At 41.6% G+C, this 24,665-nt stretch overlaps 2 pseudogenes, besides 1 other annotated feature; one reads left to right on the top strand and one right to left on the bottom strand.

The window, feature by feature from the left end:
* Positions 3,168 to 3,410, bottom strand: RN7SKP166 (RN7SK pseudogene 166; annotated as a pseudogene).
* Positions 19,444 to 20,160, top strand: PDCL3P7 (PDCL3 pseudogene 7; annotated as a pseudogene).
* Positions 23,689 to 24,314: an enhancer, noted in NCBI's record as "H3K27ac hESC enhancer chr12:66665559-66666184 (GRCh37/hg19 assembly coordinates)". NCBI's record gives its function as "activates a minimal SCP1, AML or CMV promoter by ChIP-STARR-seq in naive H9 embryonic stem cells {active_cell/tissue: H9 hESC(naive)}" and the evidence as "EXISTENCE:reporter gene assay evidence [ECO:0000049][PMID:30033119]".

Below are 24,665 nucleotides of genomic sequence, written 5' to 3'. Positions count from 1 at the left end.
ATTGAAAGTTAATGAAAACAGGGACTTGATAACTGCATTGATTCAGAGGAACTTTGAATGCTAAAACACTGTGATAGCATTGTGCAGCACTAAAAGGGATATAAGGAGGCAGAAAGCCCTAGCCACAAAAAGCTGATACTACAGTCATGTGTGGCTGGGTGTGGTGGCTCATGTCTATAATCCCAGCACTTCGGGAGGCTGAAGAGGGAGGATTGCTTGAGCCCAGGAGTTTGGTACCAGCCTGGGCAACATAGCAAAACCTGTCTCTACAAAAATTAGCCAGGCATGGTGGTGCACAACTGTGGTCCCAGTTACTGGGAGGTGAGAGGTGGGAAGTCAGAGGATTGCTTGAGCCCAGGAGGCAGAGATCGCAGTAAGCCAAGATCACACAACTGCACTCCAGCCTGGGTGACAGAATGAGAACCTGTCTCAACAAAACGAAACAATACAGTCACATGTCACTTAACGATAGGGGTACATTCTCAGAAATGTATCCTTAGGTGATTTCATCATTGCACAAACACCATAGAGTGTACAAATCTAGCTCTATAACCTACTACATACCTAGGTCATATGGCATAGCCTATCATTCCTGGACTATAAACCTGTACTTCATGTTACTGTACTGAATCCTGTAGGCAACTCTAGGTCAATGGTATTTGTGTATCCAGATATGAGAAAGCTATGTAAAAATATGTTATTATAATCTTATGAGACCACCACTATTAATGCAGTCCATCATTAACCAAAACATTGTTATATGTGGTGAATAACTGTTCCATAATTCTCTTACTGGGAATATAGATTCCTAGCAGTAAGTGGTAATATACCAGAAGGAACAAAAGACTCAAGATAAACGCATTCTCGTGTCCAATTGACTGGTATTATATTACTGAATACATTGTTGGGTTTTTTTTTTTTTTTGAGATGGAGTTTCGCTCTTGTCACCCAGGCTGGAGTGCAATGGTACGATCTCAGCTCACTGCAACCTCTGTCTCCCAGGTTGAAGCAATTCTCCTGCCTCAGCCTCCCGAGTAGCTGGGATTGCAGGTGCCCGCCACCACACCCGGCTAATTTTTTTATTTTTTATTTTAGTAGAGATGGGATTTCCCCATGTTGGCCAGGCTGGTCTTGAACTCTTGACCTCAGGTGATCCACCCACCTCGGCCTCCCAGTGGGCTGGAATTACAAGTGTGAGCCACAGCACCCAGCCAATACATTGTTTTTATATTAAAACAAATAAGGATATATTATGTAAAATGAAAAATTGACATGAATAAGGTAAAGAATAAAACTTAAAAGTAAGTCTACCTTTGAGGGGACAGGTTGGTTGGGCAATACTTCAAGATTCCATAGGGCATTCATGCCTTCTTCCTGGAAGTATGTGTGTTTCAGTGGAAATGTTGATATAATTAATTGACACTGTGTTGAGCCTTTGCCTTTAAATGTTACAAAGTAATGACCCCAATCACCTTAATTACAATTCAATTTACTTTACATTATTATGTATGTTTTTACCCATGCTAAAACATTTGTAGGGCTAAATTCATGCCTTTATATTTCTGTTTCAGCATATGAGTTTGTAAGTTGTAGGAGAGTATGTTCGTTAAAAAGTACTACCTTGGCCAGGTGCAGTGGTTCATGCCTGTAATCCCAGCTACTAAGGAGGCTGTGGCAGGAGAATCACTTGGAGGTGGAGGTTGCAGTGAGCTGAGATCGTGCCACTGCACTCCTATCTGGGTGACAGAGTGACACTCCATCTCAAAAAATAAAAATAAAAACAAAAGAACTGCCTCCCAATGAGCACGGTGGCTCACACTAGTAATTCCAGAGTTGTGGGAGGCCGAGGTGGGAGGATTGCTTGAGGCCAGCAGTTTGAGACCAGCCTAAGCAACAAAGAGAGACCCCATCACCACACACACACACACACACACACACACACACACACACACAATAATAAGCTGGGCATGGCGGTGCAAACCTATAGTCCCAGCTACTTTGGAGGCTGAGGCAACAGGATCGTTTGGGGACAGAAGTTCAAGGCTTCAGTGAGCTACGATTGTGCCATTGCACTCCAGCCCGGGTGACATAGTGAGACCCTAACCCAAAAAATAAATGAAAGAAAAGAAAAGAAAAGAAAAGAAAAAGGAAAAAGAAAAAGAAAAAGAATTGCTTTCCTAAATACATTTTCTGGAAGCTCCTTTCCTAACAAACATGCCATGGTTGAGGTGAGCACTAAAACAAAAATGCATCAACTCTGCTACCACAGAGAGATGGAGCTGGGGATCAGTTTCTAGCTGATCATGTTGGTCTTTGTTAGGCATTTTATGAAAACTATTTATCTCATCCTATATGATAAGTATAACTTTTTAAAAAGCAAACATTTGCAAAGTATTACTAAGAAGTAGATGACTACAATTCATTTATTCAGTCAATACATATTTTAGGATAGTTACTGTTCTGGGTACTGGAGAATAACAGTAAACAAAACAGACCAAGTCCTTGTACATCCTAAGAAGGAGCAAGGATCCATCCTAAGAAGGAGCAAGGATCCATCCTAAGAAGGAGCCAGGGAGCAAGTAAAAGTAATATCAAATGATGATGAGAACCAGAAGCAAAGATAAAAGAGAGAAAGGGGATAGAGAGTGCTATGGTTTGAATATTTGTCTCTTGCAAAATTCATGTTGAGGGCCAGGCGGCATGGCTCACGCTTGTAATCCCAGCACTTTGAGAGGCTGAGATGGGCAGATCACTTGAGATCAGGAGTTCCAGATCAGCCTGGCCAACATGGTGAAACCCCATCTCTACTAAAAATACAAAAAGTTAGCCAGGCGTGGTGGCACACACCTATAATCCCAGCTATGGAGAGGCTGAAGCTCGAGAATTGCTTGAACCCAGGAGGCGGAAGTTGCAGTGAGGCAAGATAGCGCCACTGCACTCTAGCGTGGGTGACAGAACAACACTCTATCTCAAGAAAAAAAAAATTCATGTTGAAACTTAATCCCCAATGTGGCAGCACTGAGAGGTGAGGAGGGTCATGAGGTATATTCATTTCATATCATTTAAGAGGTGATTGGGTCATGAGGTATCTTCCCTCGTGAATAGATTAATCCACTCATGGATTAATGGGTCAATGGATTAATGGGTTATCATGGGAGTGGGACTGGTGGACCTTGAGAGCTTGTTTGGAGGTTCTAGCAGGGGAGCGCAGTTGCCCGTATACCCTTGACCGAAGACCAGTCCTCTTCTATCAGGGATGGTAATCCTCTTTCACCGAGCACAGCTTTGGGAGGGACACACATGGAGTGGTGAGGGAGGAAGGGGACAACCGCCTAGCTGGCCAGATCAGCCAAGTCAACTCGGGCTATCAATGGGGTGGCAGATGTCACAGACAGATCACCCTCACATCCAGGACTGGTAGCTTTATGAGAAGAAGAGAGACCTGAACTAACATGTTCAGTCCCCTCACCATGTGATGCCGCCTGTTGCTCCACCAGCAAGAAGGCTTTCACCAGATATGTTCTCTCTACCTCAGACTTTCCAGCCTCCATAACTCTAAGTTATAAACAAATTCCTTTTCTTTATAAATTATCCAGTTTTAAGTATTCTGTTACAAGCAGCAAAAAATGAACTAACACAGAGCATGACTGTAGTGAGGTTTTGCTATTTCAGATAGAATGATGGATTGAAACCAAGGTAGAGATATTAAAAATTGACAATGAGATATTGTGTTGTATGGGCTATGGAATGAATTATTGAATAGAAGGAATGCAAATCAGGGAACATGTGAAAAGTGCTATGCTTATGCAATCTATAATCATCAATAGATGAAGACTGACTTTCTGGAATAGAAATATATTTGAGCATTCCACAGAGTCACTCTTGTTGCAAAAGATAAACTACATTCAGATCAGCAGGTCTGTTTTCCTGATTTATTTTAAATGGCTGGAAATTTCCTCCATTTGTGACAAGATTTCATATACAACATCCACTTCTGGCCAAGAAGGGAGAAAATCATCCTGCATTGGAGAAAAGTGAGATATGAAGAACTAGGTTGGAATAATGATGAGCAAAAAGGGAAAGAATGACTGAAAGGGAGACAGGAAGGAGAATGTGGAAAGATAATGTGATGAAGATATGGACAGCAGATGCAGGGGAGTTTCAAAAGAGTTGGAAAATTCTCCTTTAAAAAACAAAGCCATAATGCAGTAATAACTCGTGTTACACAATGCAGAATTCATTAAAGAATGCAAAATCTCTGAGATTTTATTTTTGATGTAAGAAAACATAGGCTGTGAGTGGTGGCTCATGCTGTAATCCCAGCACTTTGGGAGGCCAAGGCGGGTGGATCACCTGAGGTTAGGAGTCTGAGACCAGCCTGGCCAACATGGTGAAACCCATTCTCTACTAAAAATACAAAAAATTAGCCGGGCGTGGTGGCAGGCACCTATAATCCCAGCTGCTCGGGAGGCTGAGGCAGGAGAATTGTTTGAATCTGGGAGGCTGACGTTGCAGTTAGCGGAGATGGTGCCACTGCACTCCAGCCTACGTGACAGAGCAAGACTCTGTTTTTGTTTTTGTTTTTTTTCTGAAAACAAACAAACAAAAAAACCCCAGAATTTGGAGAGTACAAAGACAATGCTTTCACACTCAGAAAACAGAACAATTTTATATATTTAACTTCCTCCCTTAATTATAAACAACAACAATTATAATGGCTAATACTGAGTGTTTACATTGTGCTTTCCACACATCACAAAGTCCTCTCCTTCAATTAACTCATTTACTCTTCACAAAAGCCTCATGAAATAGTTAACATTAAAGCATCTATCTTACTTATGAGGAAACTTCTGCTGAGAGGTTAGATAACTTGCTTAAAGTTGGGAGTGGCTGAACCATGACTTGAACCTAAGAAGTCAGGCTCCAGTGACCGTGCTCTTTGCTGCTACATGTTCAGGCACAGCTCTGTGTTCTAAATATCTCTGCATGCACCCAGGAACCAACCTGGGGCTGTGAGGAGGCATACACTGCAGCATAGTATCAATCTCCTTGATTTGTTGCCTCTCTTTTGTTTGAGATTTGTAAAACAGATACACACTTCTCTGGGACCTTAGGGTAAAACCACAACAGTTGCAAAGTTACCACAACCTCTTGTCATCTCTAAGTGACAAATAACTTGAATTGCAAGGTTACTTGTTTTTTACACTGCTGCTGGATGAGCCTGTAAGAACTCTGTACACAGGGGTCTAAGATAAATAGCACATTGATATGGCTTGGCGGTGTCCCCACCCAAATCTCATCTTGAATTGCAGCACCTGTAATTCCCACATGTCTTGGGAGGAACCTGGTGGGAGGCAACTGAATCATGGGAGTGGGTCTTTTCTGTGCTGTTCTCGTGATAGTGAATAAGTCTCGTGAGATCTGATGGTTTTAAAAAGGGGAGTTCTCCTACACAAGCTCTCTTGCCTACCACCATGTAAGACATCCTTTGCTCTTCCTTTGTCTTCTGCCATGATTGTGAGGCCTCCCTAGCAATGTGGAACTGTGAGTCCATTAAACCTCTTTCCTTTTAAATTACCTGGTCTCAGGTCTTTAAATCAGTCTTTATTCACGGCGTGAGAACAGACTGATATATGCTACATACAGGATAAATAAATGTTCTTTACCTCTTTCCTGGGTGGCTCTGTTTTGGAGAGATTATTGTTGGCTGACATCTTTCCCATAATATTTGGCCATAAGTTTTTATTTTGAGAGAAACTACTTTTGTCCAACTCTTCAAAAACTCCACCTATGATCTCTTTGCTAAATGATATCATTGTTGAAGTACAGCAGTAAGCACAAGATTTAAGCATTTCTGATTTAAGCACTACTCCCCGAATTGTGTTTTTCCTGGTTTTCTGAAATATCTCTATGAGGGCCAGGCATGCTGGCTTACGCCTGTAATCCCAGCACTTTGGGAGGCAGAGGTGGGTGGATCACTTGAGGTCAAGAGTTCAAGACCAGACTTGCCAACATGGTAAAACCCCATCTCTACTAAAAATGCAAAACATACAAACATCAGGCAGGCATGGATGGTGGCAGGTGCCTGTAATCCCAGCTACTCAGGAAGCTGAGGCAGGAGAATTGCTTAAACCCAGGAGGCGGAGGTTGCGGTGAGCTGAGATCACACCACGGCACTCCACCCCAGGCGATCCCCATGTCACATTCAGGGCCATCCCTGGGGATATTTTGCAGGTGCTCTGTCATGTAAACAGCTTAAGCCATTCCAAATCTATCTGTCGATACCATTTCAGTAGCTCAACTGCACAGAAACCTTAAAATACATACATACATACATACATACATACATACATACATACATACATACATATATGCATACATACTGTATTACCCAACGGGAGTTACTGGCTTGCCAGGTCACCCTCCCAAAACCTGGGCCTGGCCAGAGAATACCAGAGTGACTGTATAGGCAGGCTTCATGGAACTCCTCAGTGTATCTGGTTGACCTCATCCATGGGACAGAGGGTTAGAGAGCACCCCAAATGGAAGAACAAGGATGGGGGCCCACATGGGGTTCCAACCCAAGTTTGCAACACCCCACCCAGATGGCACTGCCAATATCAGCTGGTCCCAAGTACCAGAGGAAGTCTTAGAAGATTTGAGGAAAGCACTTCAAAGAATGGAGTCCCCTGAGGCCAGGTTAAGAACCCTGCTTACTCCAGTGTAAGAGTCATACCAACACCCGACTCTATACCTTTCTCCCCTAACTTATTATGACTTCCTCCTGATTGGCTGCACAACTTCTACATTCTTTCTTTTTGTGTCAATCAACCTCATAGTGTACATGTATTATTAATATATTACTATCTTACACTGCACCTTGTTCCTTCTTATTGATTTTATCAAACATAACCTCCTCTGTTGTAGTCCTCAATTAGATATGGTCTAGACCCAATCCCCTCTCATCTACTCAGGGATATCACTTCAGCAATTCTCCCTTCTTTCTTATATCATTTACTTTTCTCTTTTTTGAATTATTTCCATCAGCACACAAAAATACAGTTGCCTTTGCCATCTCAAAAGATCCTTTCTTTGGGAGGCCGAGACAGGTGGATCACTTGAAGTCAGGAGTTCAAGACCAGCCTGGTCAACATGGAGAAACCCCATCTCTACTAAAAACACAAAAATTAGACCAGGTACAATGACTCACACCTGTAATCCCAGCACTTTGAAAGGCCGAGGCAGGCGGATCACCTGAGGTCAGGAGTTCGAGACCAGCCTGGCCAACGTGGTGAAACCCCATCTCCACTAAAAATACAAAAAATTAGCCAGGCATGGTGGCTTCGGCCTGTAGTCCCATCTACTCTGGAGGCTGAGGCAGGAGAATCGCTTGAACCCAGGAAGGAGAGGTTGCAGTGAACTGAGATTGCACCACTGCACTCCAGCCTGGGCAACAGGGTGAGACTCCATCTCAAAAAAATCAATCAATATAAATAAATGAATGAATACATAAATACACAAAAATTAGCCAGGCATGGTGGTGCACATCTGTAGTCCCAGCTACATGGGAGGCTAAGGCTGAAGAATCACTTGAACTCGGGAGCGGAGGTTTCAGTGAGCTGAGATCGTGCCACTGCACTCCAGCCTGAGTGACAAAGCAAGACTCTGTTTCAAAAAAAAAAGAAAAAAAATTTTGTTTGTCCTCCCCTCCCCACCAGCTACCTTCTCATTTCCTTGCTCCTGCAGCAAAACCACTTGAAAGGGCTATCTGTACTTATTATCTGCTCCTCCTCTCCTTCAGCACCGACTCAGCTTGAGTTCCGGTTGTACTCTGCACAGAGGCATTTGGTAGAGAAGAAGGGCACAGATGGAGACTAATATCTACTCCATTCTCTGCTTGCCAGGCAGAAAGCTTGACATAGGACTTTGTCATGGTTGGAGAAGAAACATTTGGAAATTGGTTTATCCAGAAGCACCACCTTTTTCAATTGGCCAGCCTGAAGCAGGCCCCTCTTCTAATTCTAGAAAAGGTCCTGCATGTGTTTAGGATAGACTTGTTCTCCTGGTCTTTGTTAGCCCACTTCAATGAGGTTTCCAACCCAACACATCCCTGAAATTCCTCTGGTGCAGGGTCACCAGTGACTTCCACATGGCTAAATGCAATGGTTAGTACATTTGTTTTCTATTGCTGCTATAACAAATTACCCCAAACCCAGTGGTTGAAAACAACACAAATTTATTATCACCCAGTTCTTAAGGTCAGAAGTTTAAAATGGGGAAGCAGGGCTGCTTTCCTTCTGGGTGCTCCAGGGTACAATCATTCCTTGCCACATCCCTCAGACCTCTGTGTCCACGGTCACACTGCCTTCTCTGACTTTGACTCTGAATCTTTTGCCTCCCTCTTATAAGGACCCTTGTGATTACATCGGGCCCACATGGACAATCCAGGATAATCTCCCCATCTCCAGATCCTTAACATTAACCACATCTCCAAAGTTCTTCTTGCCATGTAAGACAATATAGTCACAGGTTCTGGGGATTAAGATGTGGACATCTTTGTGGGGCTGGGAGGACATTAATTAGCCTACTACAGTTGTTCTCAGTTGTTCTCTTATTGACCTGTCAGCAGTATTTGATGTCCCTGATCTGTCCTTCTATCTGAACACATTTTCATCTCTTGGTTTCTGGCATGCCGCGATCTTTCAGTTGTCTCCCTCCTTCATGGCTGCTCTGTCTGAGTAGCCTCCTTGGCCTTCCTTACTTTCCATGACCACTCTGTCCTTAGTCTTCTCTTATCTGTCCAGACTCCATTCACTCTTATGGCCTTGAGTATCACCTATATGTTGTGGTTCTTATATTTATATCACTGTCTATACATCACTGTTTTCTTTCTTCTTCTTTTTTTTTTTTTTTTAGACGGAGTCTCGTTTTGTCGCCCAGGCTGGAGTGCAGTGGCACAATCTCGGCTCACCGCAACCTCCGCCTCCTGGGTTCAAGCGATTCTCCTGCCTCAGCCTCCCGAGTAGCTGGGATTATAGGCACGTGCCACAGTGCCCAGCTAATTTTTGTATTTTTAGTAGAGACAGGGTTCCACTGTGTTGTCCAGGCTGGTTTTGAACTCCTGACCTCAAGTGATCCACCTGCCTCGACCTCCCAAAGTGTTGAGATTACAGGCGTGAACCACTGCGCCCGGCCTTATACATCACTTTTAAACTACAAACTTGTACTTCCAACTGCCTGCTTAACATCGCCAGTTAAATATCTTTTAAAACTTGACAGGATCAAACAGGAATTCCTGACCATTCTTCCTCCCCAGATCTGCTCTACCTACAGTCTTCCCCATCTCAGTTAATGGTAACTTCATCCTTTGGTTGCTCCCGCCAAACTCTTTGGAGTTAATCCTAACTTTTCTCTGTTTCCTGCGTCCCATGCACAATCCATCACCAAATCTCATTGGCTCTACCTTCGAAACATACCCAGAATCCAATCACTTCTCACCACCTCTGCTGCTCCCACCCTGGTCTCAGCTGCCTCCCTCTCTGTGCTGGCTTATTCCAATAATCTCCTAACGGACCTCCTGCTTCCAATTTTGCTTCCTACAGCATTTTTTTTTTCCAGTGGAGCTGCTATAATGATTCTTTTGAAACAGGTCAGATTGTATTAACTCCTTTGCTCAAAACCCTGCAAGAGCTCCACATCACACTCGCAGTGAAAGCAAAGCCTATTAGGCCTTACATGCTCTGCCCTTCCATCAGTCTCTCTGGCCTTCTCACTTCCTGCTCTCCCTTTGCTCATTTTGCTTCAGCTACACTGGCCCAGCCCCCTTGTTGTTCCTTGAACACATCAGATATGATTCTCCCAGAGAGTTCTTGAACTGTCTCCTCTCTTTGTCTAGAATAGTTTTCCCAGGGAACTGTGTGGCTAACTCCCTCGCTATCTTTGTGTTTTTGCTTAAGAAAAAAGATTATCATCTTCTCAATGGGGCTTACTCTGTCCAGCAGACCAAAGGCCCTTTGTGGCAATGTGAATTGCTAGAAACTTTTGAAATTAATTATATAATGTCTTTTTTTTTTTTTTTTTTTGAGACAGAGTCTTGCTGTTGGCCAGGCTGGAGTGCAGTGATGCGATGTCAGCTCACTTCAACCTCTGCCTCTTGGGTTCAAGCGATTCTCCTGCCTCAGCCTCCCAGGTAGCTAGGACTACAGGCAAGTGCCACCACGCCCAGCTAATTTTTTGTATTTTTTTTTTTTTTCAGTAGAGACAGGGTTTCACCATGTTATCCAGTATGGTCTCGATCTCCTGACCTCGTGATCTGCCCGCCTTGGCCTCCCAAAGTGCTGGGATTACAGGCGTGAGCCACTGCACCCAGCCGATTATATAATGTCTTTTAAAATCTATCAACACATTCTTTAATATAGCACTTCCATGTTGGAGAATCTCTCCTATAGAAATGAGAGCACCACTGTGCAAGAATATTTATTGTACTATTTCTCATAGGCCAAAAGCAACTAGAAACAATCAGATTGCTCATCAATAGAAAAATTATTGAATTTATTATGGTAAATCAAATTAAAAAACATTATGTAGTGATTAAAAAGAATTAAGTTAGAAGCTTAAGGATGTCAGTGCTGTCTAATTAAGTAAAATGGCACATTGCAGAGTAATGTGTAAAGTATTATTAGCTTTTTGAAAAACAACAGCAAAACAAAAGTCTGCATAACTGTTTTAAGACCATGGTAGAAGTGTAACTGGGTACACACTAAGCTGTCAACATCAGTCACCAAGATGATATGAGAATAGAATAGAATAAAGTAGGAAATAATTGACTTTTTCATAAAATACTTTTGTATTGTTTTTTTCATTAACATGCACACAATTCAGTAATTAAAATTAATTTTTTAGTTTAAATAATGATTTTAACATCAAATCTTTTTTTTTTGTCTTCTCACTAGTGGTTGCTGAGAAGAACCCTACCTGATTAATGAGAGTCAGGCTACTATTCTATTTGCCTTTATTATACACTAAACTCTGGTTGTATCTACCAATTTTTGTACCTTGGTGCTCACCTACTATAGAAATCAGGTACTATAGGAATCTACTAATTTTTGTATCTTGATGCTCACCTACTATAGGAATCAGCTCTCTTGGAAATTCAAGGAAACATTCCTCTTCAGTTTATATTGAAGATAATCATCTAATCTTCCTTATCCCTGCTGGCTCCATCCTTTACTCCTCACCCCCGTTCCTCAGCTCTAGCCAGAACTGTTTCTGTTGTAAAGGTAATATTTTATAGGCTTGTACACACTCAGTGTGCAAAAATATGATTTTCTTTACTTTGCTAAGGCTGAACTTGAGTTTTGTATCAGGCTCCTATTCTTCCTGATTAAAAGAACAAATCTAGTCAATTCAAGTAACTCAGTCAGTTTAAAGTGTTTTTTTTTTTTTCCATGTCAGGTTTAATATCTATCAGGATTTTCTTATTCCTGCTTATTCATTCTGGGGTAGCATCCATGTTCTATGGATTCATGGCCCTGTAGGAAATATCTGCAATTGTCCTTTTCCCTGTGCCAGCGTTTGCTGAGGTGTACAAGTCTTATCTAACCCTGAGCATGGTTGTCTCTCCTCTGGTACCCACTGAAGGCTCCATGGCCCTATCTGGTCCAGGGCTGCAGGGTCCACACCATTTTTCACTATGGTGCTTCCATGTCACAAATGCATGCCAATTTCGGGGCCCACATCCTTGTCTCAAACAAACACTGTGTCTTTTCTTGGGGACTCAGGGAAATTTGCCCATTCTCAAGGCTGCAGGAAAAGTGATAGAGCCACCTCAAGGCATCTTGCCATTAGCACGTCATCCAGCCATCCACAGCCTGAGTTCTCTTGCACCACAGTGCTACAGGGAACTCTCCTGAGGCTGTTGCCTTCCAGCATCCCAGACAGAAAGCAGGCTACAAGTCCTCCCTTCTCAAATCCTCAGACTTTTCTGAGGGCCACCCTCCCACCCTGTCTTGGAGTTAAGATCATGAAGGTGAGCTCTGCCTTCCTTCTAGGAAGTCCGGCCAATGACTAACTCACCTGCTTCCTTTCCTTCTCTTCTTCCACCCCTATCTGGCACTAAAAAGACTGTTTTCTAGTGTTGGAACATTGTGTAAGGGGCACTGCAGAGTGGTGGGGGAGCTTGGTCAGCAGGCTTTCTCATATCTTTCTGCACTGATTTTTTTCAAACAAAAGCCAAGAATTTGATATTTAACATCAGCTGCCTGGTCTGTGGAAGGGAAGTAGTTCTCAGGGCACTGAATGAGTGAAGAAAGTCAATGAATTGGAAAGTGCAGAAAGCTCACTGGTTAAAACTTCTCATATTATCATGCCCAATGTCTATACTCATTTAGCCCTTCTGACCTTGGCATCTAGCTTGCTTCCTATGACCTCATCAGTCCACTTTTATTCATTCGAGTATTTGCTGATCACCTGCTATGTCTCAGGCACTGTGCTAGATGTAGAGTTGCAGATGGACAAAGCATGGTCCTTGCCCTCAAGAAGGAGCTCGTAGTCTAATGGGGAAGCAGCCTTGTAAACAACAAGTGCAAGGAAGTGTTAGAGGCACTAGGTTAGGTTACAGATAGACAATGCTTTCTATTAGCTGAATCTGTAGAAACTGAGTCAGCTGACAAGGTAGAGGAAAGAGCTTTCCAAATAGAGGGAATAGCAGATACAGAGAAAGAAGAAGCGAGCATGATTTTAGCAGCTACAAGGAGCTGGGGAGAGGAAGGTGGAAAGTCAGGCAGCACCTGGATTATGGAGGCTCTCAAATGCCATACTAAGGGGTATTAACTTTGTACTATAGACCAGTGGATTTTAAACTCAGGATCCATGGACCTTTGAGACCATGGAAGAGCTTCATGTGGGTCTATGATTTCCCCCAGATACTGCATATAAAATTTATAAGAATTAGGTATGGATTTTTCTGAGGTCTGCAGTATTTATTAGGGGATGGAGGCTCTACAGAAGATAAAAACCGCTGGATTAGAAAATGGGAGGCCACAGGAAAGGAACAGAGTAGAAAACAGTCATTAAGAGCGTAAGCTCTGGAGTTGGAATATCAGAGGTGCTTAACCAATTTCCTACTCTGCAAAAGGGTGACCATGATAGTACCTCATGGGGCTCTTTGAAGGATTAAATGGGATAAATATGTCATGGTAACTGACACATAGTGAGTTCTCAAACCGTGATTATAATGATCAACATCATCATGTCATTACATCTGTAGGATGATTACTCTGGCCACAGAGTGGAGTGAGGAAGACTACTTAGGAAACACTTGCAATAGTCCATGTAAGAGAAAATGAGAGGCTACACAGAAATTGCAAACTGGCAGCCCAAGGACACAATCTAGCCCACAGGCATTATGTATGTGTGTTGGAGGTAGGGACAGTGTATGTTTACTTCCTATTCAATATATAAGTTATTTAAAAAATTGAACTACTTGCCCCACTTAAAAAGATTTCACGTTAAAAATGTAGGTTTCTTTTAAATTTAAAATATCTGGGAATACTGGGCCTTTGTTCTCGCAGGAGAGAGTCTGTTTAAACTAAGTACTCTGTGCTCCCTTTAAATAAGGTCTATTGTCTCTAATTGGTCCTAGTCATAACTGTTCCCTGTTAATGACACATGTCCTGTCTTACTTGTTTTCTGTGAATCTATGACTACAGGCCTAAACTAAAGCAAAGGTTTTAGGATGTTGAGGAGGTGATGGGTTCAAGGAATGTTAAACAACAGAGTTGAGAGGGTTTGATGGCCAACTGGATAACGGGGATAGGGACAAGGTAATTTGAATGGATCACAATGTCACTATCTAAGACATAAAATACAGGAAGGGCAACTAGTTTGGAGGAAAGATGGGCAAGATCATAGCTCGGAGGTAGACAGCTTAAGATGTCTGTGGAACATATGGAAAGAGATATCTAGATAACAGTTGAATATATAGATCTTAGGGAAATGATCAGAACTAAAGACAAAGATTTTCGAGTCAAAGATGTAGTTTTTACAGTAACTAAAACAATAATAATTGATGAGATTGTGCAGGGAGAATGAGAAAGGGTGTGAACTCTAAGGAACATTCCTTTTTAAGGGTAGAATAGGGGAAGACACTAGCAAAGAAGACAGAAGGAACATTCAGGAGGAGCAGGGTACAGCCTGGAGGGGAAAAGGTCATAGAAGTCAAGGACCTAAAGAGTTTCCAGGAGAAAATGGTCACTAGCTGATATAGTTTGGCTGTGTCCCCACCCAAATCTCATCTTGAATTGTAGCTCCCATAATCCCCATGTGTCATGGGAGGAACCCCATGGGAGGTAACTGAATAATGGGGGTGGGTTTTTCCCGTGCTGTTCTCACGACAGTGAATAAGTCTCACGAGATCTGATGGTTTTATAAAGGGCAGTTCCCCTGCACATGCTCTCTTGCCTGCTGCCATGTAAGACATGCCTTTGCTCCTTCTTCATCTTCCACCATGATTGTGAGGCCTCCCCAGCCATTTGGAACTGTGAGTCCATTTAACCTGTTTTTCTTTATAAACTACCCAGTCTCAGATATTTCTTCATAGCAGTATGAAAATGGACTAATACACTAGCCAAATGTCACAGAAGGTCATATTTAGACCTTCAGAACCTAATCTGAGACATATATTAAAAAGAATCGGATTCACATCCCAGTCCTATCACAAGCTTAGCATGAGACCTTATGCAAGTCCTTTCAATTCTGGGCTCAGACACCACATCCATAAATGAGGAGGTTGGACCAGGAGATTGATAAACTAAGGTCTTTCAAGTGTTAACATTTTAGGATTCTTAGAAACCTGCCCTCCTCGCCAGTTATCACCATTCATTCTTCCTGCAGCCATGCTGCTGCAAATGTGTCTGTGTGTGTTTCTTTTTTCTTTCTGTCTTTTCTTTTTAATTCTTCTTCTTCATTTTTTTTTTTTTTTTTTTTTTTTTTTTTTGAGACAAGGTCTCATCCTGTTGCCCAGGCTGGAGTGCAGTGGCATAATTACAGCTCACTGCAACCTTGACTTCCCAGGCTCAGGTGATCCTCTATGTCAGCCTCCCAACTAGCTGAGACTACAAGTGTGCACCACCATGACCAACTAATTTTTTATTTTTTGTATTTTTTTCAACATGTTGCCCAGAATGGTCTCAAACTCCTGACCTCAAGTGATCCACCCACCTTGGCCTCCCAAGTGCTGGGATTACAGGTGAAAGCCACCATGTCTGGCTTCTGTTTGTGTTTCTGTGGCTTCTATACACAGCATGTGACTGAGGTTAGACTCTGTCAGCTCAGCTTGCATCCAAAAAGGAAGCAGCCAAGCGTGCTCTGAAAGAGGAAGGAATTTTAAAAAATGCCCTAGTGATAACTTTCCCAATTTCATAGACCAACTGCAACACACTCATGACTTTTCTCACCCTGAGGTGGCTTCCAAAGGAATTCATAGGAATTCCCATGATTTATGAAGGGACCAGTTGTTTTCTGGCAACCTGGATTAATGTGCTTCTAAGACATAGGATCTTCCCTTTGGTTTCTAATAAATTTATTAACTAGATTATGAGTTACTTAATGGTGAAGCCTTTCTTCGACGCAGTAGGTACTCAGTAAATGGGCATTGAAATAAATTTATGTCTCACATTATTCAACGTTCATGTTTATCCATTGGATTAAGAATGGAGGCCTCCAATTAATTAAAGTCCATTTAAGAAGTGGAATTGCAGGAGGTCTCTAACAAGAGCCTGAAGGGAGAGAAAGTGTTATTGAAAATTATGTGGAAATGGTAGATTCTGGAATGGAATAGAATTGTTACATAAGTTAAAAGACCCCAAGATCAAGGAAAGGAAGTTGGGTTGGGCACAGTGGCTCACATCTGTACTCCCAGCTCTTTGAGAGGTTGAGAAGGGAGGATCACTGGAAGTTAAGAGTACAGGACCATGCTGGGCAACATAGGGAAACCCTATCTCAACAAAAAAAAAATTTTAAAAATAAGCCAGGAACGGTAGCATGCACCTGTAGACCCAGTTGGTTGCACCACTGCACTCCAGCCTGGGGGACAGAGTGAGACCCTGTTTTTTTTGTTGTTGTTGTTTTGCTTTATTTTTTAAAAAAGGAAGGAAGATTGATACAAGTTATAACTGAAGTTATAACAGTCAGAGTGTGGAATTAAACAATTATTACTCAATCTATGATTTTGCCCAGCCTCTTTCCTCTGTTTTCATCTGTTGTATTGTTTGCATGAAGGATCGTATCTTATATAGGAAATAAGAGAGGAAGGATATGTCACCCTGATCACTCCAGGGTCCACTGCAAAGTCTTTTTCACCAGGGCAGCCTTTGATATTGGCTGAACTTTAGTCAGCCAGTTTCCTGTGTGATGAGCACTCATGTTTGATTTTTGTAAGCTCGCCACACACCTTCCCTATCAATTTCCTTCCAATATATTTCTGATAAGGACCATTGCCACTTCTTGAGTATCAGGTTCAGGTGCAGTAGTACTTGTCAGAGTTGCAGGTAAAATATAAGACACTCAGATGATTTGAATTTCAAATAACAATGAATAATTTTTAATATAAGTGTGGCCCAGAGCATCCTGTATTTTTATTTGCTAAATCTAGCACCCTATGTTTTGTATTTCATGTCTCTGTTTTTGATGTTTCCTTCTTTGACTTGGTTCCAACACTTCATTTAGCCCCTCCAGAGCCAGTGCTTTTCCACCTCTGCTGTCCTCTGCTGGTCATGGTTGGTCACTGGTGCTGGAGGGAAAAACCCAACAGCTTGGGCTTAAAATAATGTTGAAGGAATATGGATAAAGCATGCGCATCCAGCAAACATTCACTGGGCATAGTCCATGTTCCAGGTTATGTGATGAGCTAGTGAACATTCCATGTCCTCAAGAAGCTCCCAGGCTAGAAGACAAGAGAGACTTGTACGGCACATATACTGGACTGGAAGTCAGAAGTCCCAGGAAAAAACATTCTGGTCTAAAATCTTTCACAAACAAGCTATGCAACGTTGAAGTCACTTAAGTTTTTGGGATTTCTAGCCTGTCATCAAAATAAAGGATGGATGTCAGGAAGAAAAAAAAAATAGTATTGGAAAAATACAGCAGAATTTATCTTGGAGAGGTAGGTTTGGGAAGAGTGAAATAGCCCAGATAGAGTTCCCAAAGTTATGGAAGTACTCCCAAAGTCATGGAGAGGCAAGGAGGTGATGGACAGAGGGTTAAGCAACTAACAGGAGTGCTGGTGGTTTATAGGTGACAACTGGCTGTGGAAACATCCTCCTTGGAACACTCAGAAATAGCTGGGACATGATTGTATTTCCTGCAATTACACACCATATGTTCCTGAGATATTTTGTTTAGGGGGACCACAGAAGGCTGGAGAATTTCGTGACTCTTGAAGATCCTATGAAATGAAGTTGTTGCTAATCTTTGAGATCCCATGCAGCTCTAATAGTCCATGGCCCTACTATGTATTATGACAGAAATAGAAATGACATACTAAATGAGACCTGAGAAAGGCATGATCCATGTCAACTGCTGGAGTCATGAAGAAACCTCATGACCTATCTGTGGCACCAGTCCCTCCAACAGAGTTCATTAGCACCTTGAATGGTACTCTCCTCCACCTGATTGCTCAGGCTAGAATCTTAGAGGCAACCTCAACTCCTGCCTCTCTCTTCCCCACCTGCCCTTTGATTCCTTCATAGAATTTATAGTTCTACAAATTCTACCTCTGAAAAATATGCTTGTTCTGCCCACTTCCCTCCATCTCCTGGACTATCCCAGTTTAGGCTGCCATGGCTTCTTCCCGAACAGCCTCCTAAAAGGTCTTGCCGATTCCCTTCTCGTGCTTTTCTGACCCATTCTCCACAATGCACGTAAGAGTCATCCTAAAAATTTATCCCATCAATGGCTTCTCATGGCCCGTAGCAGAAAACATGATGAAAAAGTCCTTTCTGAGCTGGCTTGTGCATAACTCCTGAGTTTCTCTTCTCTCTGGCCACTGCCCTCTTTCACATCATGCTAAGCTCCAGCTCTACTGACCTGGTGTGGATTATCTCATATGTCAGGTTCTCTCTTGCCTTCAGGTCTTTTACAGGTACAAATTTCTCTAAGGACCCTTCCCTAATCCCTCTAGAGGAAAAGTTTTTCATTCTGTAGAGACACTTATCCTAATGATAAGAATGATGATAAAAATTATAGTGCCCACTGCAAGCCAGGTACTACTCTGAGCTCTTCATATGTAATAACAGATAAATGCTCCTATAACATAGTTTTCCTATCAAAGTTCTCATAACATTTCATTTAAATTGCTTTCTTGATTATCTAATCCCATTATTATAATGTAGAGAAGACAGGGATTCTCTGTCTTGCCCACCTTTGTAGCAACAACACCTAGCACAGATGAGTATTATTTAAGCTCTCCTTAAAAATGAATAAAACTTTATTTATTTATTTATTTATTTATTTATTTATTTATTTATTTATGTATTTTTGAGATGGCATCTCACTCTGTTGCTCAGGCTGGAGTGCAGTGGTGCGATCTTCGCTCACTGCATCCTGTACCTCCTGGGTTCAAGCGAATCTCCTGCCTCAGCCTCCAGAGTAGCTGGGACTACAGGTGTGCACCACCACACCCGGCCAATGAATACGACTTTAAAATGTGAAAACAGAAGTGTTTCTAGTTAGAGTCAGAGTTGGAAATGGACAGAATGTATTTAGAGAGAGGAAAATAATTTACTGTGGCTAAAACAGATGGTACACATAGGAGATAAGCCTGGAATATTATATGGGAGGCCAATCAGGAAGGCCCACTCCTAAGGGGTTTTGATCAACAGAAACTCTTAATTTTTTTTCTTTTATTTTCGGTAGAGATGGGGGTCTTGCTATGTTGCCCAGGCTGGTCTAGAACTTGTGGACTCAAGTGATTCTCCTGCCTCAGCCTCCCAAAGTGCTGGGATCACAGGCTACTGTACCCAGTGAAACTCTTAATTTTAATGCACTCAACTTTATCAGTTTATATTATCTAAAAGTCACCATCAAAAGAGTGAAAGGCAAGCCACAGAGCAGATATTTGCTGCACATAAAACCAATATGGGCCTTATAACCAGAATATACAAAGTACTTCTATAATTGGATATTCACGTGCAAAAAAACAAAGTTGAACACATATCAAAACATATACAAAAATTAACTCAAAATGGATCATAGACCTAAAAGTAAGAACTGAAAAAATTAAACTCAGAAAAAATCAGAGTCACTCTTAGATTAAGCACTGGTTGCTTTCATATATCAAAAATATAAATAACAAAAGAAAAATGGAGAAATTAGACTTAATCAAAATTTAGAACTTTTGTACTTCAATAGACATCAAGAAAATGAAGACAACTCATTGAAAACAAGATGTAGGGCCCCAACACAGACACTGAGTGGAATGACATCCTACGCAAAAAGGGCATCTTGCCCCCCAAGGAAAGTCTGAAAGAATTGGAAAACAAGGAAGAAGAGGAACAGCGCATCCTCCAGCAGTCAGTGGTGAAAATGTATGAAGATATGACTTTGGAAGAGCTGGAGGATCATGAAGACAAATTTAATGAGGAGGATGAACATGCTATTGAAATGTACAGACAGCAGAGACTATCTGAGTGGAAAGCAACTAAACTGAAGAATAAATCTGGAGAAGTTTTGGAGATCTCAGGAAAGGATTATGTTCAAGAAGTTACCAAAGCTGGTGAGAGTTTGCGGGTAATCTTGCACCTTTAAAAACAAGGAATTTCCCCTCTGTGCCCTGATAAATCAGCACCTCGGTGGACTTGCCAGGAAGTTTCCTGGTGTCAAATTTATCAAAGCCATTTCAACAACCTGCATACCCAATTAACCTGTTAGGAATCTGCCCATGATATTTGTTTACCTGGAAGGAGATATCAAGGCTCAGTTTATCAGTCCTCTGGTGTTTGGCGGCATGAACCTGTCGAGAGATGAGTTGGAGTGGAAACTGAATCTAGAGCAACTAAGATAGACCTGGAGGCAAACCCTAAGAAACTGATTGAAGACATGTTGCTGTCCTCAGTGAGGTGCTCTGTCCCCAGGAGGAAGGACAGCAATTCTGAGGGTGACTGAGGCTGCAGCTGCTGTAACTTCCCAAACTTTCTTGTGACAAATGGTCTGGATTTTTTTAAAAAGGAAAAAGCAAGAAGGAATGCTTTTGGTTTTTAGTTTTGTATAAATTATGTTTCATATCTTTTTATTTCAGAAATAATCATTGCTGGAAATGCTGTTAAATTTTTTGGAACTCTTCTTAAAAATTATAGCATTTCCTTTTTTAAAAAAATTAAAACCAGTTATTGGTATGGCACAAAAAGAAAAGAAAGAAAATGAAGACAACTCATAAATATATTTTGTAAATTATGTATCAGATAAGAGACTAGTATTCAGAATATATAAAAAACTGTTACAACTAAACAATAAAAAGATAAACAACTCAATTTTTAAATGGCAAAGGATTTGAATAGGCATTTTTCCAAAGATGAAATACAAATGAACAACAGTCATATAAAAAGATGTTCAATGTCATTCATCAGGGAAATGTAAATCAAAACTACAAGATACCATTTCACACCCAAAAGTTGACTATACTTAAAAAAAAAAAACAGAAAATAACAAATATTGGCAAGGATGTAGAGAAATTGGAACCCTTATACGTTGCTGATGGGGTTGCAAAAGGGTGCAACTGCTTTGAAAATAGTTAAGCAATTTCTCAAAATGTTAAATTTAGGGTTACCGTATGACTCAGCAATCCCACTCTGAGTTATATACCCAAGATAACTGAAAACATATCCATACAAAAACCTGTACATGAATGTTCATAGCAGTATTATTCATAATAGCCAAAATCTTTCACAAACAAGCTATGCAATGTTGAAGTCCCTGCAAACACCCCAAATACCCATCAACTGATAAGTAGATAAAGTGTTATATCCATACAATGGAATATTATTCAGCAATAAAAAGGAATGAAGTATTGATACATGCTACAACATGGATGAACTTTGAAAACATATTATGTGAAAGAAGACAGTCACAAAAGACCACATATTGTATTAAACATTTATTTGAAACATCCAGAATAGGCAAATCTCTAGAGACAGGTAGTAGGTTAGTAGTTGGCTAGGGCTGAGGAGTGGGTATGGGGTAATACAAATAAAATAAAAATAAAAATTGATGGCTAGGCGCAGTGGCTCACGCCTGTAATCCCAACACTTTGGAAGGCCGAGGCAGGCTGATCACTTGAGGTCAGGAGTTCGAGACCGGCCTGGCCAACATGGTGAAACCCTATCTCTACTAAAAATACAAAAAGTAGCTGGGTGTGGTGGCAGGCACCTGTAATCCCAGCTGCTCTGGAGGCTGAGGCAGGAGAATTGCTTGGCGGCATGCAGAGGCTGCAGTGAGCCAATACTGTGCCACTGTACTCCAGCATGGGTGACAGAGTAAGACTCTATCTCAAAATAAACAAACAAAAACAAAAACAAAAATGGATTATAGTGGTGGTTGTACAACTCTGTGAGTATACTAGAAAGCATTGAATTGTAAACTTTAGTGAATTGTCCAGTGTGTGAATTGTATCTCAATAAAGCTGCTAAAAATTGAGGTTTTTTTGAAAAAAGAAATTGGTTATAATAAGAGTCATGTAATGTTTTCCTTTGGGGTGAATCTGGAGATTTTGATTAGAAAGGGACTTGTGAGACTTCTGAAATGTTAACAACATGCTATTTTGGGGTCTGAATGGTAGTTACATGGGTGGTTTTTTGTGTGTGATAATTTAAGCTGTACCTTCAAGCTTCTTGCATCTTCTGTATGTATGTTTATTTCACAAGAAAACATTTATAAAAGTATACCAAAAAATATTGATTTTAAACAAATTTAAATTTAAAACAAATCTAAAGGAATGAGTTAATGATTTTATTTTGTCATTACTTGTCTACTATTTACCAGTGGCGTGAACTGGGCAAGGCAGCCAACCTCTGAAAGCCTCAGTTTCTTCTCCCGTTAAACAGGGACCTATTATGTCTGTATAGTAGGCTGAACCTATAATTGTTAGTAAACCACCTTCCTTTTTGCCCAGAACATTATAGGCTTTTGACATGATCTAAAAATGTAAAAAGTTATCTGAGAAAATGCCCATTTTCTGGGCAGGAGGTGAACCTCCCTGGTCAGTGTGGCACAAAGAAAGGCTCAGTAGCATGGAGGAATGTTAGAAAAATGAAGTACAGGTGAATTTGGACACTGGCAGAAAGGCAGCAAAATGGGGACAAGGAAGAACTGTCTTTGGTGGGTCCAGGTGTAGAGTCTTTTCAGCAGAGACCAAAGAGAGACCAGATTAGGGCTGGCAGTCAAGCACCAATGGGCATGCATCTACCTCTGAGACAACAGGAGAAATAGGTGTTCCCAAATCCTCGGGCCTTCGGGGATTGACCTATCTGGTAAGATCCAAATAAAATAACTCAGTCCTCCCTCTCATATAATTGCAGAAAGTCTAGTATCTCTACAATGTTTATCAGGGTACAGGGAGAGGGGGAAGCTTTGTCTTTAGTGTTCATCACCTCCTACTGTGCTCAATTCTCCAACCCCACAGCTGTCTTGTTTCTTGTCTCTGCTGTCCTTTCTCTTTACCCTAAGCTAAGGCACAGCTCTCCCTATTTCCCAAAGCACTGATAATGTAAACCTGCTCCATCTGGTGGTACCTAAGCCTTTTTCGAAGAGTTGGGGATAATGGGTCAAAGAAACTCAAAACAAGAAACTATTTAAATTACCATCAGGGAACAAACACTACCATTAAAATGCCTTTTCCTTCCTCAATGCAGGATAGCATATGAGTAGCCCCTTACTGGATGTGCCTCCTTGAATGAGTTACTTAACTGATTAGTCTTCGTTTCCTCCTTTGTAAAATGGTGATAAACCTAAATTTGCTTCTGGGATTCCTCTGAGGATCACATAAATAATGTATTTGAACACAGAATAGCTATTGACGTAGTAAATGATGCCAGTAGTAGTAGACGAAGGAAAATGAGTAATAGCATTAGATCTCTCACTTGGTGATATATTCTAGAGGCCCATTCCTTCCCACAGAGTCTGTTTTCACATCTAGTCTCTTCCCTGCATCTAGAATTACAAATCACAAGTTTCTTGGGCTGCAAAGGAAAATAGCTAACATTCCTGTTTCTTTATTATGTAGAACATTTTGGCTACCCTTTGCTCAATCCCATCTATCCATCATAATCCAGGACCCTCTCTTTCCATTCCAAAACTTTCCTAAATACAGAACCCTGGGCCAGGCGCAATGACCCACACCTGTAATCCTAGAACCTTGGGAGTCAGAGGCAGGTGGATCACTTGAGCTCAGGAGTTCACGACCAACCTGGGAAACATGGAAAAACCCTGTCTCTACTAAAAATACAGAAAATTAGCCAGGCATGGTGGCGTGCACCTGTTATCCCAGCTACTTGGGAGGCTGAGGTGGGAGGATCACCTGAGCCTGGGAGGTCAAGGCTGCAGTGAGCCAAAACTATGCCACTGCGCTCCAGCCTTTGCGATAGGAGTGAGACTCTGTCTAAACAAACAAACAAACAAAACATAGACTCTAGACCCTAGAGCTCTGCTTTGAAAGATTTAATAAAAACTGGCTGAGCACAGTGGCTCATGTTTGTAACCTCAGCACTTTGGGAGGCCAAGGCAGGTGGATCACCTGAGGTCAGGAGTTCAAGACCAGCCTGGCCAACATGGTGAAACGCTGCCTCTACTAAAAATACAAAAAAAATTAGCTGGGCCTGGTGATGCACGCCTGTAATCCCAGCTACTCAGAAGGCTGAGGCAGGAGAATCGCTTGAACCCAGGAGGCAGAAGTTGCAGTGAGCTGAGATCATGCCATTGCACTCCTGCCTGGGCAACAAGAGCAAAACTCCATTTCGAAATTAAAAAAAAAAAGATTTAATAGAAACTGAAGATAGAGTTTTTTCTCTAAGCAGAACTCAAAGTCAGAGGACCTCTGCTCACCTTTCCCATAAGTCTCACTGGGAAGAAAGGCTGGCATACATTTGTTCTTTCTTTTGCCAGAACAACCCATCGGTGTGGCAGCTTAAATAGTTATTTATTCGTCCTTTAGGACATTCATATCATATCTGAGTTTATTTATTCAACAAATCTTTATTGAATGCTTATTTCATGCCTGACATTCTGCTAGGTACAGGTGAGCAGAGACACACCTGGAGCTCTCTTGGGGCTTTTAGCTGAGTCTGGGACACGGATATTCAATAATGACCAGAAACCCAATGCAAAGTGCAACAGTGATAAATGCTACAAAAGGGAAGTGTCTAGAGCTAACAGATCACCTAAAACAGAGCTTTAACCTCATCTGAGAGGTCAAAGAAGGTTTTCTCAGAGGAAAGGATACAGCCCAAGCCTGAAGTCACCTTTCTGTTAATGTCCAGAAAAGAGGAAGAGTTCAGTGCATTGCGGGCAGGTGGAGCATTCCAGATAGAGGACACAGAAATGGCTTCCAACTGTGTGGGAAACCCATGCTTTAGGGATTCATCATAGAACTCATGCAGATCATGATTGTTCCAAGAATT

The sequence above is a fragment of the Homo sapiens genome, chromosome 12, assembly GCF_000001405.40.
Source record: "Homo sapiens chromosome 12, GRCh38.p14 Primary Assembly".
Lineage (NCBI taxonomy): Eukaryota > Metazoa > Chordata > Mammalia > Primates > Hominidae > Homo > Homo sapiens.
The sequence above is the reverse complement of the archived record's forward strand: the minus strand, read 5'-3'. Positions and strand labels throughout refer to the sequence as shown.